Here is a 16,861-nt window from a genome sequence, read left to right as displayed (position 1 = left end):
TTTGATTTGGACGTGTCTGGGAATGGATTTTTTGAGCTAATCCTGTTTAGGATGCATTGAGCTTCTTGAATCTGTAAGTTTATGTGCTTTTCTCTCTTGTTCAGATTGGATAATTTCTATGGATCTGTCTTCAAGGTCACTATTTGTTTCCTCTGTCTTCTATATTCTGCTTTTGACACATCTAGTAATTTTTTTTTCATTTGTATTGTTTCCGTTGAGAGTTGGCATATTTCTAGTTCTTGGTATGCCAAGTAAATGAAACCTGTATCATGGACATTTGGAATATTTTGTTAAGATACTCTGGGTCTTGTTTAAACCCGATGGAATAGGTTGACATGAGCACTTGGTTGAGATCAAGCCCTAAATTCCTTTTATAGAACTTTTATGCATGGTTTCCAACGTCAAATGAGCTTCTAACCCCTTGGCTTGCGATTGAGATCTGTCCCACGTATGCACAGACACTCGCCAAGCTTGGAGATGGTGGTGGTTTTTATCTCTTAGTTCTTTTCTGAATATCATTGATATGCTGTTCGAGGTCAGATCCACCTGTGCACAACTTGGAGCTGAGCCTAGAAGTTCACACACCACTTCACACGATCCCTGTTCTGCTCCCTCCTCACTACAGTCTCCCTGACATTTTCCGTGTCCATGGAGACCCCTTTATCAGGCTTCTGGATGAAAAACTGGGACCTTAATTAATTTCCCTGCTTTGCCATAAACTTACTGCAAATGGACCTTCATCCACGGTCAAATGGCAGAAAAAGAGAGAGAGAGGCCAAAAGCAATGGGGATTCCTCCACATGTGTGGACCACAGCTCCTCTGGCCAGAAAGAAGGATCCCCTCCTCCAGAGTTTTAGGTGCCTGCCCAACCTCCGCCACCACAGGATTGCTTGAGGCTGTGGGTGGGAGAAAAGGCAATAAAGAATGAAAGGGAAGATCTCCCATGCACTCTGAACCTTGGGGCTCCCTTTTCTTGAAGCTCTTTTTATCCACACTTGTTATACACATGTGGCTTTCAGGCTACCTTTGAGTCCCAGCCAGGTGACAGCCCAAGGGAAAAAATGGGAAACTCACAGCTTCTTTAGTGGTACTTGGAAATCTGCCTTTCTTCTCCAATTGCCTGCTACTCTTTATTTTTCAGAGTCCATAAATAACAGCATCTGCCCAGGTTTGCTAGCTGCGTTAACTAGGGAAACAGAGTGTGGTGTGTGTACTCCATCTTTCCTGGAACTAGAAGTACTTGCTGAGTTTCTTGAATCTGTGCATTCGTTTCTTTCATCAAATTTGAGAAGTTTGTTTATTATTTCTTAAAATACTTTTTTCTGCCTCGTTCTCTGTGACTGTGATTATCCAATCCTTAGATTTTTTGTAATACTGTCCTTTGGAACCCTGACATTGTCTATTTTTTTTTCAGTCTTTTTTTCTTTCTTCTTCAGATTAGACAAATGTCATTGATTTGTCAAGTTCCCTGAGTCTTGTCTTCGTCACTTTTATCCTACTAAGGCTGTCCATTGGATTGTTTCAGATGTTGTGTTTTTCAACTTTAACATTTTCATTTGGTTCCTTTTTATGAAAATGTTCACCACATTTACCTTTCCTTGTTGAAATAGTTACAATAGTGGCATTAAACTCATTGCCTCCTAGGTCCAGCATCTGCATCATCTCAAGCCTGCTATCTCTTGTCTTTTCTCTTGAGAATGGGGTCATATTTTCCCAGGAATTTTGGATTGTTTGCTTGATATTGTGAGTATTATGTTGTGTAGATTGTGGGTTGTGTTATATTCCTCTGGAGGATGTTTATGATTTGTTTGAGCTGACAGCTACTATGATTAGACTCAAACTGGAATCTCCATCTTGCCTTCAGTGGTTAAAGTCTCAGATCACTCATTTAAGCTTTTGCTCCACTCCTTTGTGCCTGTCCTACACATGCGTGCTTCGGGGTCAGCCTGGGGCTTTTGCAGATGCACACCCAGAACTGGGGACTCCCTTCCTCTGGCTCTTCTCCCTCCAGGGCTCTCCTCTCACTCCCCAGTTCCCCTACAGTTGCCTGCACTTCTTCCCCTGAATCCTTCAGCCTGAAAGATGTCAGCTGTACTGGGGTTTTAGTCGCCTGTGCCACATGGTTGTGTGTCTGCAGCAGGTCCTCAGGACAAAGCCCCCATGAAATGCAAACTAACACCTGAGCCCATCTGACTGCTCTTATTTACTCTTCAGAACCCTCAGGTCGGTCGCTGTGTGTGTGTGATGGGGGGGATTCGTTATTGTTTCTGTTGTGTAGTGTTCTGATTGCTGTCAGTGGAGGGTTGTTCTACAGTGTCCTAAGGGCAGCACTCTCCAGTGCTGGCTTTTAATCTGGAACTTTTCCAAGAGCTTTTCTCCACTTCACTGTTAAGCAGCAGGGCTGGTGGGAGGGGGTCGCCAGCTTATTCGGCACTAGTGGTCTTCACATTCACGGTCACTCCATCTGTGTAGGTATGAGCATTTCACATGGAGATGCAGACGGTTGTGTTGTAAACAATGTCCTTCTTCTAGTTTGTCTGCACCTTAACAGTTAGAAGGAATTATATTGGGGGTGGGTATACTGAAAGTTTCTAGTATCTGTGAATTTTATTTCCTGGCAATATCGGGGTGGCATTAGAAAATATTTATTTTAAAGGTGGACTGTTGGATCTGAGGTCATTAGGAGCTGATGGGTTAGGTGCTGATGGGGCCCCCTTTGGGCACTGGCCCTCCCTGATTCTAGGGAGTGTCTTTTCCTGCCCTCCTGCCAGCAGTCCCTCCAGGGAGCACCAGGCATTAGCCAGGCACCCACCATGGTTGTGGGGGTGGGCAGGGGACGGTCCCTTTTTCTGGTTAGTGGATGTTCACCCTTGACTTCCTCACTCTTGCCAAAAGGACCTTTTGCCCCAGGGATTCCATCCATGGGGGACCTGCGGCACTGGTGGCTTTCAGAACAGCGTGTCTCTTGGTGATTTATGTCTGGGCGAGGCCTCCTCAGTTCAGGGTTTGTCTGTGGTGGGTATCCTGGGAGCAGCTCAGAATTCCTGGGAACAGGAAGAGCCTCCAGGCATTGTGGTGCAGTGGGCTGAGAAATGAACTGGGAGTCAAGACCCAGGGTCCTTCTCTGCTGTGTGATCTCAGACAAGTCATGTGACTTCTTTAGTTTTCCTGACTAGGAGGTGTACAGAGTGGACAAGATAACCCCCGTTTCAGCTCCACTGTTCCATATAGCAGTGCAGTCTCCTGCCTCCTTCCCTCTCCTCTTTTTTCGTCTAATATTTATTATTGTCCATGTATACACACACATTCACATATGTGCACATACACGTATGCTCATGTGTGTGCTATATGTACATCATGTGTGCATGTATGCACACACAAACACTGCACATACATGCACCGTGCAGCATGCATGCACACGTGGACACTCACAAACATGCACACTGCACATACATGTACCATGTGGCATACATGCACACACGTGCCTGTTCACACATATGCACACTATACATATGTGCAGCAAGCATGCACACACACATACATACTCATGTGCACACACATGCTGTTGTCTCTGCTATTCAGCATGGAATTGGGGCCTGGGGATATGGAGGGAGGGCCAGGTCAGCCCCACCCAAACAGTGCTATCTCCAACGCAAGCCTGGTGGCCACCAGCAGTGCCAGGTCTAAAGGCTGCCCTGGAAACAGGCTTCCAAATCCCAACACTAGTCTGTAAGCCAATCTTCAGTTACTCAGCTGTCCTTCCAGGATGTGACAAGGAAACCCGGCCCCCATGGCTCCTGGCCTGGGGTGATTAGGAGCCTGAGAATGTCAGGCCATGAAAAGACTTTTCCACCAGCAGAAAACAGGACTGTGTTCTCCGGGTAGCCAGCTGGTAACTGCCCGGGTCCCTCCCATCCCTGCTGCCCAGGGCTAGTTCTGGAGAGCAGGGCAATCCTAAGCATGGCACCGAGCCCCACCTCCCCGCCTGCCACCTCCCTGTGCACTTGCTGCAAACTCTGCCACCGGTTTCCACTTCAGGGTGGTGTACCCCACCCAGCCCTTCAGTCTCCTACTTCTGTGAACCCAAGCGGAGTCTTACCACCTCGGGCTTGTCCCCATGCAGCCCAGTCCCCAGTCACTCGTGGGGACCATGGATGAGCCAGGGGAAGAGACTGAGCAGGGAGTGCAGGGGTGGAGGGAGGGGAGTGCAGGGGTGGAGGGAGGGGAGTACAGGGGTAGGGGGGTGCAGGGATGGAGGGAGGGGAGTGCTGGGGTGGAGGGAGGGGGGTGGAGGGGTAAAGGGGAGTACAGCGGTGGAGGGAAGCAGACAAGCCACCCTCATCCCCAGGGGCTGTGGCAGAGAGATCTGGAGAGCCCAGACCTGAGGCTGGGATGGAAAGGGTAGGGCAGAGCCCTCCCCCAGTGTGGGGGCAGCGGGGCATAGAGGAGCTGAGGTGGGAGGTCGTGTGACATGCCTGGGGACACAGAAGAGTCACCCAAGGCCACCTGCAAGTGCTGATGACCAAAGGGGAGCAACAAGATGGAGGGCAGGGACCAGACCCAGAGGCTCCCATCGGCCCCTCCTAGGGGTGACCCTGAAAGCAGCGGGGAGATGGGGGCTGTGAGCACGGGGCACCCTGCATCCCCCACCCTGGAGGGAGGCCCAGCCTTCCCGTCCTGGAGAAGCGGGAGAGTGGTGGGAGAGGAGATGCGTGCTGTGAGCACGGGGCACCCCGCATCCCCCGCCCTGAAGGAAGGTCCAGCCTTCCCTGTCCTGGAGAGGCGGGAGAGTGTGGTGGGAGAGGAGATGGGGGCTGTGAGCATGGGGCACCCTGCATCCCCCACCCTGAAGGGAGGCCAAGCCTTCCCTGTCCTGGAGAGGCGGGAGAGTGTGGTGGGAGAGGAGATGGGGGCTGTGAGCATGGGGCAGCCCGCATCCCCCACCCTGAAGGGAGGCCCAGCCTTCCCTGTCCTGGAGAGGCGGGAGAGTGTGGTGGGAGAGGCTGCTTCTGTGCTACAAGTGTGGCTGGGCACGCTACCCAGCCCTGGGCTCTGCCCCCAGATCTGCTGGGTGAGTTCACAGCCTCCTGGACCGTGTCAGAGTCACCTTTGAAGCGTGGGTGTGAGATTCTGACCCAGCAGGTCCTCAGCCCTGTCTCGGGTCAGCACCTGTGTGATTTTCCCTTCAGTAACTCCCATGAAAGCCCCCAGGCCCTGGGTTGGCTGGAGGCTGGAGAGGAGGGTGCAGCATGCATGTGCTCAGCTGCCTTCTTTTCCGTAAATGCGCCCAAATGGTTTCACATCCGAGGCCTTTTTTGACAACCGTGAAGGACACGGATGAAGGAATAACGCTCGCTCGAGGTCTCAGGTGTGGCGGATCAGGGCATGAGGCCACCTTTTGAGCCTCAGTTGCATTTGCATCCTCAGCAATGCGTTTCCCACCAAGGCTCTGCAACTTCCAAGGCGGCGGGTGACCTAGGGACAGCTCAGGTGAGGCAGGGAGTGGGACGGCTCACAGAAGTAGGAGGCAGACCCTGGGCCAGGTGGGGGCCAGGCCAGCTCCAAGCAGCTCTACCCATCCAAGCTTACTCTACACGAGACCCACGTTCCCCGGAGAGGATTGGGGCTCTCTGAGTTCCAGGCTTACCTCAGGCCAGGCCAGCGCAGGGCAGGACACTCCAAGGGTAGTCACCACAGTGGCAGGACCACTCATAGGGGCGGGACAGAGCCAAGGGACACAGCCAAGACTGTGTTTTCAAGGCAGCAGGAGGAGGGGACGGAGGCCCGGAGGTTTGTTTTGAGGGACTGTGAGCCCCAGGGCTGAGACACGGGTGTTTCAACCCAAGGAGGGTGATAGATGAGAGATGTGGGCACCCAGGGCTGGCATGGAAATACGTGGAGACCACTCAACCGAGAGTAAGCAGAGGCTGGGTATCACGAGCTTGCTGTGGCAACAGCCAGGCCCTGCTACTTACATGAGGCAGAGGCTCAAAGGCAGGCAGTGAGGGAAACGCTTTGTAGCAGAGAAAGGCGGGGCTCACTAGCACTGGGGCCTTCTAAGTCATTGGTTGGGGTAGCAGATTTGGCTTTCTCTGGTTGACCCTGAGTTGGAGGTCGGGTAGAAATTGGGGTGAAAATGACAATCCTTGATGAGGAGGTCCTGGCCGCTTGGGGCGGCTTTTTGCTGAGAGGTTTGCTTGGCTTCCTGGTGCTGCCGCAGATGCTGGGTCAGGGCGCCGGTGTCCCCCGTGGTGTCTGTCCTCTTGTGCCTTCACTCTCACTTCAGAGCTGCAGGGTGCAGCTGCCACTGCCTGGGCTGGGGGAAGTGGCTACCTGGACTCAAGCCTTGGTGGGGAGCAAGACAGTGCTTATCGCTCAAGAGGTGGCCTGTGTGCTTGACCAAGCTGAGACCTTGCAGGGGTGCAGCCAAGGGGCCCCTCAGATGCCTGAGGTGGGGTGTGGCCCAGCCAGGGCTCCCACAGCCCAGGGCTATTGGCCCCAAGAAACTTCGTCTGGCTGTGCGATGTCCTAGTGCTTGGAGAAACGCTGGCACTTCGGTCCCCAGCCATCACAATTCCACCACCACGGTCACCGCTGCAGGGGCACAGCCAGGTGGGCAGTGGAAGCACAGAGAGATGCCAGGACCACTGGAGCTGCTGTGGGCTGCCCTAGAGGGACTTGGAAAGGAGCAAGGAGGAGGGAGGAAGCTGCCTGCCCTCTTCCAACCTTCTGGGCTCATTCATTCCTCCCGTAGGCAGATCCTAGCAGGAACCCCCCAGGGGGCCGGGGGCATAGCCTGCCAGGCCCCACTGCAGGCTCACATTGCAGAGCGCAGAGAGGGTGCTTAGAGGTGAGGAAGGAGGGCCCGGCAGGGTTCCCCACATGGGTCTCAGTGATGCTTGCTGCAGGGTGTGACCAGCCTCTACTGCAGTCATGGAAAGACCTCCCTGGGATCTGATCGCCCGAGCCCACAAGGGCAGGAGCTTCCTGGGGGAGGCCAGAGACCCACCCTGTGCCTTGGGCTAAAGCCTCGGCCATGGGGGTGGCGACTTGCCAGGTGCGTGAATGTGGCTCTGGGGCCCTGTGTGTTCCTGGTTCTTCCACTTTCCTCCCCTTGGGTAGGAGGCAGGGGCCTGCAGCCACACATTGGTGGCAGCTCAGGGTGGCTGCTGCGTGAAGTGTGGCCCGGGATGCCCAGCTGGAGTTAGATCCGGAGGGAAGGCTGAGGCCAGGTGTGGGGCTGAGGGCTTGGGCCCGGGAGCAGCTGAGTCTCTGCAGGCAGAAGGAGGTGCAGTGGACGGGGTCTTAGGAAGAGGACCCTGAGGGTTTGGCAGGGCCTCACAGAGCCACAAAGAGCCATGTGGGGGTGTCGCAGCAGCCGGGTAGGAAAGGAGGGAAGGAGACCTGAGAAAGAAAGACGTTTTGGAGCCTGAATCCACAGGAATTGGTGGACAGGGAATGTAGGAGCTGGGCAGAGTTCACCAGGATCTGAGGATCCCGCCTGGAGGAGGGAGGAGAAGGTGAGGGGGACATGGAGCAACTTCCCGTGGGGGCTCTCCCGGCCCCTCTGTGTAGGGTAACTGCTGTCGTCGCTCTATAGAGAAGCTTTTCTGTAGCTGTGTGCTTATCCCAAAGCATCCAGTGTGTGTGCAGTAAATGTTGATGAATAAAGTCCCAGTAGGAATCACGTCTCCTCCTGAGTCAGCTCAGGCTGCTGTAACAAAAATCCTCTAGACTGTGTGGCTCAAACAACAGAAGTGTTTCTCAGCCCTCTGGAGGCTGGAAAGTCCTTTATGGTCTGCAGACAGCAGCCTTTGTGCCATGTGCTCGCATTGGGGGGCGAGGGGTACTGGCGTCTATTCTCGCAAAGACACTAATCACCAGAGCCCACCCTCATGACCTCCTCCAACCCTAATCACCTCCCAAAGCCCCCACCTCCAGACACCCTCACACCGGGGATTTCGGCCCCAATATATGAACTGGGGGGGGCACGCAGACGTGCAGCTCGAGCGCTGCCCCTGGCATCTGGCAGCTCTAGCTCCTGCAGCTCCTGCGTTCCTGGCTGTGCTGTTATCGATCATTCTGCAGGTTTCCCCTCCAGCCCCCGCCCTGTGCCTTTGTGTCCCCACCGCTCAGCACCGGCAGATGCACGCTGGTCCTCAGGCACCTCCCATCTCCCAGGTTCTGATCCCCTCTCAGGTCCCACCAGCACTGCAGCCACATGGTGTGTTCAGCAAAATATGCACGAAGCTTCTGCAGAATTCCAGATGCCAGACATCCAAGGACGCCAGGCCAGGAGCCGGCTCATCAAATATGTGCAAGGCGTCAGAGGTGTGAATTTTCTACTTCCAGCCCAAGGCAAACTTTCTTTCCATTTCCTTTATCAGTGCTGGTCACACCTGTGCAGGGAGACTCCAGCCCCCGCCCCCAGCAGGGAGTGGCCATGCCTGCGCTCCAGGCCGCCCCCTTGCCTCTTATCTCCGGCAGCCAGTCAGCCACGCTGCCCAGTGGGGTGGCTGTGCATGGAGAGCTCTGAATCCGCCTCCTTTTGAGCCTAAACAGATTAGTGCTGACATTCATTCCGCGTCCTGGGCCTGCCTCTCTGTCATGCGGGGAAGTGCTGGATTATGGGATGGCAGAGCCGGGTGGGGGGTGGCGTGAACTGGACTGGGACTGTGGATCTGGAGTTAAATATGTGATGACTGCTTAGGATTCCCCGTCCCTCTCAGAGCTTGGCCTGGGTAGTTACTAGTAAGAGAAACCTGCCAAGAATTGTCCTGGACCTAGGCAGAGAACTAATATGCCTACCTTTTGAAAAAGCATTCCAAACTTCTACTTTGTGCAGTGGCCTGAGGGACAGGCCCTTTTTCTTCACCCTGTGGGTTCAAGAGCAGTCGGTAGAAACCAAGAGACAATAGGGTCTGGAGAGCTGTGACTTCCCAGAGTGCGCAACAGTCCACCTGGGTTTTGAAGGATGAGTAGGAGATTGCCAGCAGAAGGAGGAGGAAGGGGCTTTGCTTCATAGAGGACTGCAAGCTGTCTGCTTCCCTGGCCCATGAGGCCACAGGGGATGTGGGCTCAGGGACAGGGCAGTGGCCTCCAGGGTTTGGAAGTTGTCAGAATTTGGAGTTTCCTAGGTGGACAGCCAGTGTATCTAATGTTTTGCCTTGTGAGTGGTTTTCATTACTCCATTTTACAGATGAGGAGGTGGGGACTCGGAAGAGACCAGTCCTGTAGCTGGGGCAGCAGGGGAACCAGGTGGGAATCTGGAATTCTGGACACTGACTCTTTCCTTAACAGTTCTCAGGGTCCACCAGCATGGGGGCTACTTCCTGTGGGACTGCTGGGGGCAGCAGAAGGAATCCTGGATCTAGAGTTAAATATGCCTTCTGTTCCTTACTCCTTGCCAGTTGTGACTTCTTAGAAAAGTAGGATGGTCCCTTATGGACGTGTGATGACTGTTTAATGAAAAAACAGAGGCAGCCTGTGTGCTCAACACATAGTAGGTTTTCTGCTAGTTTCCTTCCTTCTCCGAGGAGGTAAGCATCAACCACTTAAGTTATGGTGAGGCATAGGGTGCAGAGGAGACTGGAAACCTGGCAGGGGACATGTCAGGGGCCTGGGGAGGACACACAGGGTACCCAGGCAGCTGGGAACAATGAGTAGGCAGTACCTCCAAGAAAGTGGGGGAAGGTACCTGGTAGGTACTCAGTGAGGTACAGACAGATACATGGGGTGGATGGGTGGGCAGATGGATGAGTGACTATGCAATGCCTCTGGGAAGCTAAGTGGGTCTGAAGGTAGAAGAAGATACCTGTTGGTGCTCAGTGAACAGCGAATGAATGTATGGGTGGGATGGATGGAGGGATGGATGGATGGATGGATGGATGGATGGATAGATAGATGGGTAGTTGGATGCATGGATGGATGGATAGTTGGATGCACGGATGGATGAATGGATGGATGGATGGATGGATGGATGGATGGATGGATGGATGGATGGATGCATGGTTAAATGCATGAATGTTTGGATAGATGGGTGGTTGAATGCATGGATGGATGGATGGATGGGTAGGCGACACCTCTGAGAATTTGAGGGAGTTCAAAAGTGGGAGAAGGTATATCAGGTAGGTGCTCAATGAGCAATAGCTCAGTTTATGAGATGGATGATTGGATGGATGGATAGACAGATGGGATGAGCGGAAGTTGAATGGATGAACAGTTAAGCAAGAGATAACACAAATAACCTCATCCCCTCCACCTTGCTGCCCATCAAATCAGTCTCAGTCATAGTTTGTCCCCTTGATCAACACACATGGGCACCACCTGGCCAGGGGCTGCAGGTACTCAGGATGTTCCCTCAGTGAGGGATTCTGCCCTTTCCCATCTGCTGGATAGGACCAGACTGGCCTTGGACATCCAGAACTGCCTCTGGGGAGAGGCTGGCTCCAAGGACTGGCTCCCTCTGTCCACTGCTACCAGGCTGTGCCAGCTGACGCTTCTTCTGGCTGCTCTGCTGTGGGAGTGCTGCACTCCCAGTTAAACTGCTTAAGTGACAAAAGACCCCGGGTAATCATGTGATTAAAAATAAACTTGGGCTGACTGATGCTGCTTGCTGGGGCCTATCCAACCGGGCAGGGGGTGAGGGGGAGGAACAGGAAGACTTCAGTCCCAGTTCCTCTGACGCATCACCCCAGGGGATGAGGGCGCTTCAGCTACTCCCTGTTTACAACCGAGGATTTGAGAGACCCAGAAAAGACCGGGGAAGCTTCAGGAACTCAAGGTGGAGGGTGGGTGGTCCCAGCCTAGGGGAATCTCAGGCCACAGAGACACAGAGCAGAGGTCAGGATAAACGGGCTGGCATTTATTTGTCGAACACATACAGTGTTTCTATCCCCAGAGGGAGCCCTTCTCATGGGTTGTCACGAGAACCCATTGCGGACAACCTTTATGGTTTTCATTCATACAGATGTGGGCTGCAGCGGCAGAGAAGCCCTTTCAGTCTTTCATTCAGCACCTCCTGTGTCCAGTGAGCACCTGCTGTGTGGCAGGCACTGTCTGTCCTAGCTGCTGTGGACGGAGCCATGAGCACCTGCTGTGTGGCAGGCACTGTCTGTCCTAGGTGCTGTGGACGGAGCCATGAGCACCTGCTGTGTGGCAGGCACTGTCTGTCCTAGGTGCTGTGGACGGAGCCATTAACAATCCCAAAATTCCTGCCCCTGCCGGGCCCCTGGTCTGGGTCGTGTGACTGTCCAAGGTCTCCTGATGGCGAAGGAGCCAAGCTGGACTTCTGTGCCCTACCTGCGTGCCACCGAATGCCAGGATTCGGGATCATCATCCTCTGCGGCGGCTCTGGCCTGTCTTCACGTGGCCGTCCTCTGTGGGTGCCTCCCTGGTGCCTCGTGTGTCTGGCTCTCCTTGTCTTACAAAGACACTGTCATGCTGGATGAGGGCCCATCACAGTACCTCGTTTTAACTTAATCACCTCTTTAAAGACCTTATCTCCAAATACAGTCACATTCTGAGGAGCAGGGGTTAGGCTTTCAGCATATGAATTTGGAGGGACTCCGTTCAGCCCATCACAGCCTCCCTGGGGCCCAGCTGACCCTGGCTGGTGGTGGGACCCTGGACCAACCTCACCAGGCTCAGAATCTGAAACCAGAACAAGACAAATCACATGATCTGGTGGAGCCCAGCAGCCACAGGTCATGATCCAGGTGTTCCCCAGACAAGGCACAGGCACAAACACCCTCCCCACGTGGGCACAGGTAGACTTCAGGGGCAAGAGGAGAGGACGGGGCAGCCTGGGCGTCAAGGCTGGAGTCTGTGCCTGGCCTCACCGCAGCAGCTGCTCCACACGATTGTCTTCATTGTCCACCTCCTGGCCTCCTCCCTTCTGTGGGGAGGTGGAGATGTGTGGAGATGTGTGGAGATGGGTGGAGATGAGTGGAGATGGGTGGAGATGGGAGATGCCCCGGGTCTGCGTCTGGGCTTTGTGTGCCCCTGAAGTTCACATGCCGCATCCCCACCATCAGGCCCTCTGGCTGAGGTTCAGTTGGTTGCTGGTGGGTCAGGCTCCTGATGGGGCTCAGCCATGCCACCTGCCTAACTCACTGGCCAGGAGATAAAGTGGAGTGTGTCCTGTCCCCAGACAATGGGGCCAGATGGTGGGATATGCAGCATCTTGGCTGGAGAAACTCACCAGCCCTACTCACTGAATCCAGAGGGGTGTCTGAACACCACAGGTCCTTCCGTCGGGCCACAGACCCCCTCCCTACATGGGAAAGTTGAGTCCAGTGACCCCGCTGTCTTTCTCCATGGGCCGGATCTCCATTCGAGGGGGGCAGCAGAACCCTCTGGGGCCTGGGCAGGCTGGTGGCAGTGCATGGACGTGGCTGGAGGCCGTGAGGTGGTTTGCTTACTGCTTTTGTTGTAAACTACCACTTCCCTCCAAAGAGGCGGGCGGCTTCTGGCACAGTGGGCGTTCTGGCTAGTTGGCTCTATTGTCAGGGGACATAGCCTGGAGACGGGTCAGCACTGATGGGGGTTATAAGAATGAGTACGGTGGCCACTGCAGAAAGACAGGACGAGGGGTCCAGCGGCTGGCTGTGCTTCCATTGGTCCCTTGGGTAGCTGAAACAGTGGATAAGTTTGGGCCTAAACAGACCAGAACACCATGGGGCAGCTTTGTAGATTCCGGGGACTTCCCTGCAATGGGCCCTGGGAATGCACTTGCTCCCCGCACACGAGGGGCAGTGATGGCGGCCTCTTCCTGTGCAGCCTCAGCCACGGTACTGCTCGGAGCCTTGGGCGTCCAACTTGTGACCTGCAAACAAGCACAGCGCCCCTCAGGGCTGTGGTGCAGCCTCCACTGAGTGTTTATGGTTGGGGTTGGTGCACAGAAGACAGAGGGGAGCGCCTTTCCCTGCACATTGTTGATGGGAGTCCGGCTTTCTGCCAGGCCAGACGCGGTTTCCTCGGAAGCTTCGGTTGTTGTAAGGCTCGAGCATCTACCAGGTCTCTTAGCAGTTTTGAAACTCGTGGCATTGCTGCCAAGCCCCTCCTGGAATGTGTGCTGATTCTCTTGTGCGATGCATGGTTGCTTTGGTGTCAGGACAGATTTCGGGGCTTTCAGCCAACCATGCGATATGCAAGGGAGCTCTTGCCACCGTCTTGCGGGCTTTGTCACCGTGCAGCCAGCCGGTGCAGTAGTTGCCGAGCCCGGCACCCGGCTCCTGGCATCATGAGGCCTGGGCCCAGATTCTGGTGTGATGCCCACGTCTCCGCGGCTCACCGTAGGGCACCTTCACACTTGTCATTGTCACACATGCTCACCCTGGAACCTTATTAGCAAATATACTTAGTGTTTTTTCATTTAAGTGCCAGCTCTTGCAAATGACGGGCCTCCTTGCCATCTGTGTGCAGGGAAAACCGGCCCCAAGAAGCCTTCATTCTGGAATCATTTGTCCTCAAAATGTTTGCGATGTAAGGGTCTGTGGGAGGAGCACCACCCTCGCATTCCAGATGGGGCTGAGGCTGCAGCCCTGCCCCGGGCTGCCCGTCCTATACTGGCTGCCCACTGGGGCCTGGGCTGCCCTCTCTAGAGGGTCAGGGAGCGCGGAAGCCTTTGCAGACAGTCTCCTGGAGAGAAATGGGGTGTATCATGTGGGTTTGGACTCAATGCGATGGAGGTGGCCAGGGATGTCTGGAGCGAGATGCATGCAGGGCTGGGGAACTCGGACAGAGTCTCATTGAGCCACCTGTGCCTGGCACGTGTTTCTGGACAGATCTCAAAGAAGGCCAGGCCACCTGGGGGCTGGCGTGTCCCAGGTGCAGAGGGCACAGAGCTGAGCCCGGGACCCTGATGGGTGAGGATCATTTTCAGAGCCGTTGGGGCTGCCACCTCACAGGAAGCTGGCAGGCAGATCAGGCAGGTGAATGCATCTTCCTTGAACTTGTTTCTATTTTAACATTGAAACGGGAGGATGCGCCACATGGCTGGGAAATGATAGTGAATGCAGCTGCACCCAGAAGCCAGTCCCCTACCCCTGGGGGGCTGCACCCAGCCTGTGAGGGACCTGACTCCACCAGGGTGGCTGGGCAGGGCTGGCAGTCCCAGGAGTCTCTGAGGGGTGTAGCCCGCGGCTCGGGACTTTGGCTCAGAAAGGATTTTATCCCCACTTTGGCCGCGGGTGAAGGAGAGTAGGGACAGGTTCCCCAGGCCCCTGGGAACACACATGGTACAAGAAATTCACACAGAAACTGGGATTCTAGAGGCCACGTTTCAGAACCCCCAGGTTCTCGCAAGGAAGAGGCTGAATTCCGTTCCCATTTCACGTTCAGTCCCTGGCCCTGACCACATCTTGACAAACCGTTTGGTTCTGGAGAAGCCACTTCACCCCCAGGGAGATGGTGCTGTCCTTTGCTTCATCCCTGGGATCTGAAGGGTGTGAGGGTGGGGTGGGGGTTGTGTTGGGGTGCGTGGCGGGGAGCCGCCATGGAATGAAGCCGTGTGACTCTCCTGAGGACCACAAACTGGGTGGCTCAGAACAGCAGAGAACGGATTGTCTCAGTTCAGGAGTCCAGAAGTCCAATATCACGGTGGCAGCAGGGCCGTGCTCCCTCCACAGTTGCTAGGGGAGGGTCCTTCCTGCCTCGTCCACCTCCTGGTGGCTCCAGGCATTCATCGGCTGTGGCCCTATTTCCCCATCTCTGCCTCTGTTCTCCCATGGCCTTCTGCTCTGTGTCTGTGTCTTCTCTTCTGACTCTCAGAAGAACACGTATCATTGGATTTAAGACCCCCCTGGGAAATCCAGGGTGATCTCCTCATCCCAAGATCCTTAACTCAATCACACCTACAAGGAGCTGTTTTCCAAATCAGGTCACACTCGTGGGTTTCGGGGGCTAGGGTACAGTCACATCTTTTGGGGACCAGCACTCACCCCGCCCACACAGTTACATCCTCACAACTAGAGAGGGGCACACTGTAACTATTTGCTGAATGAGTGAGCTCTGAAACGAGCGGTTGGCCACCAGGAGGCCATGCATGGCCTGAATGTGAACACAGGTGTGTGTGGTTTCAGAACCCAGCCAGGGGCCTTGACTGGCTCCTCTGCCACTGGGCTTGGCTGGGTTCTTGTTCCCGAGCCTCAGACCTGGGTCAGGCTTGGATCTAGTTTGCCCATCCTTGTCTACTCTAGTGGCTGTGGAGGAAGGCGATGGCCTGGATCAGGAAAACATGGCAAGTGGCAGGATCTGAGGTCACATCATAAGGAGTGTGTACCCAAGGCAAGGGAGGTGAATGGAGCTTGTGGAGGTGAGCAGCTAGGATGGTGATGGGTGTAGGGTTTGGAGAGCATGACCACGCAGCCACCTGCCTGAAGGGTGGACACGCTGAAGAGAGAGCTACAAGAACCTCAAGTTGGGCCAGTGCATGGTGCTCTGGGGAGGTGGACCTTGGGGCCAGTGAGCACTGGGAGAAGGAGTACTCGGCCTCCCACTTCCCTCCCTCTGCACATTTTTTTTTTTTTTTTTGAGACAGAGTCTCACCCTGTCACCCAGGCTGGAATGCAATGGCACGATCTCAGCTCACTGCAACCTCCACCTCCTAGGTTCAAGCAATTCTTCTGCCTCAGCCTCCCAAGTAGCTGGGATTACAGGCGCCCGCCACCACGCCCAGCTATTTCTTGTATCTTTAATACAGATGGGGTTTCACCATGTTGGCCAGGCTGGCCTCGAACTCCTGACCTCGTGATCTGCCTGTCTCAGCATCGCAAAGTGCTGGGATTACAGGCATGAGCCACCACACCCAGCCCTCTGCACATTTTCTATCATGCTGGGTGAGGCTGGCTTGCGGGACCCCAGGAAGCCTCCACAGGTGTGGCTTCCTCTTCCTCTCTGGAGTTCCCTGCACATCCCTCCTCCCCGAGGAAGGATCTCTCGGGAAGCCAGGCCTTCCCAAGACCCTGCCTGGTTGCCCAGCTCCACCTGGGACACTTGCAGAACACTCACAAGGTGCGCCTCTGTCCTCAGTCCCCGCCGCCTCTCTTGGGGAAGATAGTCCCTTGAACACAGGGCAGTGGGTTCCCTGACAGATTGGGCAGAGTCCCGAAAACCTGCCCACCTGGGGGGAGGCCACGGCCTCGCCCACCTTCCCACACTGACCCCGCGATGGAGGGGTCCCCTTCGCCCCTGAGCCCAGACACGGGACTGGCCTCACAGAGCACAGATGTGCTACAGCCGCCGAGGCCTGGGCCCGCTCGTCTCCAGGGCAACCCAGAATCCCCCTTGTACTGCTTAAAATATCCTGCCATTCCCAGCTTCATGGGCCTTGTACTCTGTTCTTGGCAGAATTTCTCTTTCCTTCCCAAGCCTGGGGGAGGGTGGTGGCAGGAGGGCCGTCCCCAAGGGTCCTCATCGCTCAGGTGGTTGCTGGGTAGGCCCTCGGGGCCAGCAGCCATTCCTGTGGCTATGTAACACTGGCTGGTCCCCAGGCCACCCCTCAGCACCCTTCGGTCTTGAGGACACCCCTTGGCCTCCAGGGCACAGGCTGTGGGGCCCCTGCTGAAAGCCTGGGCCAGGGCAGCCTCTGGCTGGGAGGAGAGTTGGTATTGGTCGGGGGGCCCTGGCTGGGCCTGTGTCCTCCCCACCCCACCCCTTGGTCCTCGCCCATTGGATCCTTTGAAGCACACAGCAGGAGGGCTCTGTGTCCGCTGGGCTCCTGGACTCTGCCTGTGGTTGGTGAAGCCTGGCTGAATTTTGCCAGCCCAGCTACAGGCACCCTGAGCTGTCAGTGTGGAGCGTGTGGACTGGGTATGGGAGTCAGGCGGCCCACTGGCGCCCTCACGCTCATCATGAAAT

At 55.3% G+C, this 16,861-nt stretch overlaps 1 protein-coding gene across 23 annotated transcripts in view, besides 5 other annotated features; it reads left to right on the top strand.

Moving 5' to 3' along the window:
• The window catches only part of SHANK2 (SH3 and multiple ankyrin repeat domains 2), a 785,381-nt gene that overhangs the window by 501,996 nt on the left and 266,524 nt on the right, over window positions 1–16,861 (top strand). The gene's annotated exons all lie outside the window — the stretch shown is intronic.
• Window positions 4,100–4,795: an enhancer, noted in NCBI's record as "H3K4me1 hESC enhancer chr11:70592549-70593244 (GRCh37/hg19 assembly coordinates)". NCBI's record gives its function as "activates a minimal SCP1, AML or CMV promoter by ChIP-STARR-seq in primed H9 embryonic stem cells {active_cell/tissue: H9 hESC(primed)}" and the evidence as "EXISTENCE:reporter gene assay evidence [ECO:0000049][PMID:30033119]".
• Window positions 4,796–5,491: an enhancer, noted in NCBI's record as "H3K4me1 hESC enhancer chr11:70591853-70592548 (GRCh37/hg19 assembly coordinates)". NCBI's record gives its function as "activates a minimal SCP1, AML or CMV promoter by ChIP-STARR-seq in primed H9 embryonic stem cells {active_cell/tissue: H9 hESC(primed)}" and the evidence as "EXISTENCE:reporter gene assay evidence [ECO:0000049][PMID:30033119]".
• Window positions 5,492–6,187: an enhancer, noted in NCBI's record as "H3K4me1 hESC enhancer chr11:70591157-70591852 (GRCh37/hg19 assembly coordinates)". NCBI's record gives its function as "activates a minimal SCP1, AML or CMV promoter by ChIP-STARR-seq in naive H9 embryonic stem cells {active_cell/tissue: H9 hESC(naive)}" and the evidence as "EXISTENCE:reporter gene assay evidence [ECO:0000049][PMID:30033119]".
• Window positions 10,746–11,297: an enhancer, noted in NCBI's record as "H3K4me1 hESC enhancer chr11:70586047-70586598 (GRCh37/hg19 assembly coordinates)". NCBI's record gives its function as "activates a minimal SCP1, AML or CMV promoter by ChIP-STARR-seq in naive H9 embryonic stem cells {active_cell/tissue: H9 hESC(naive)}" and the evidence as "EXISTENCE:reporter gene assay evidence [ECO:0000049][PMID:30033119]".
• Window positions 11,298–11,849: an enhancer, noted in NCBI's record as "H3K4me1 hESC enhancer chr11:70585495-70586046 (GRCh37/hg19 assembly coordinates)". NCBI's record gives its function as "activates a minimal SCP1, AML or CMV promoter by ChIP-STARR-seq in naive H9 embryonic stem cells {active_cell/tissue: H9 hESC(naive)}" and the evidence as "EXISTENCE:reporter gene assay evidence [ECO:0000049][PMID:30033119]".

The sequence above is a fragment of the Homo sapiens genome, chromosome 11 (genome assembly GCF_000001405.40).
Source record: "Homo sapiens chromosome 11, GRCh38.p14 Primary Assembly".
Taxonomy (NCBI): Eukaryota; Metazoa; Chordata; class Mammalia; order Primates; family Hominidae; genus Homo; species Homo sapiens.
Note: the sequence above shows the minus strand (reverse complement) of the source record. Positions and strands in the feature narration are given on the sequence as shown.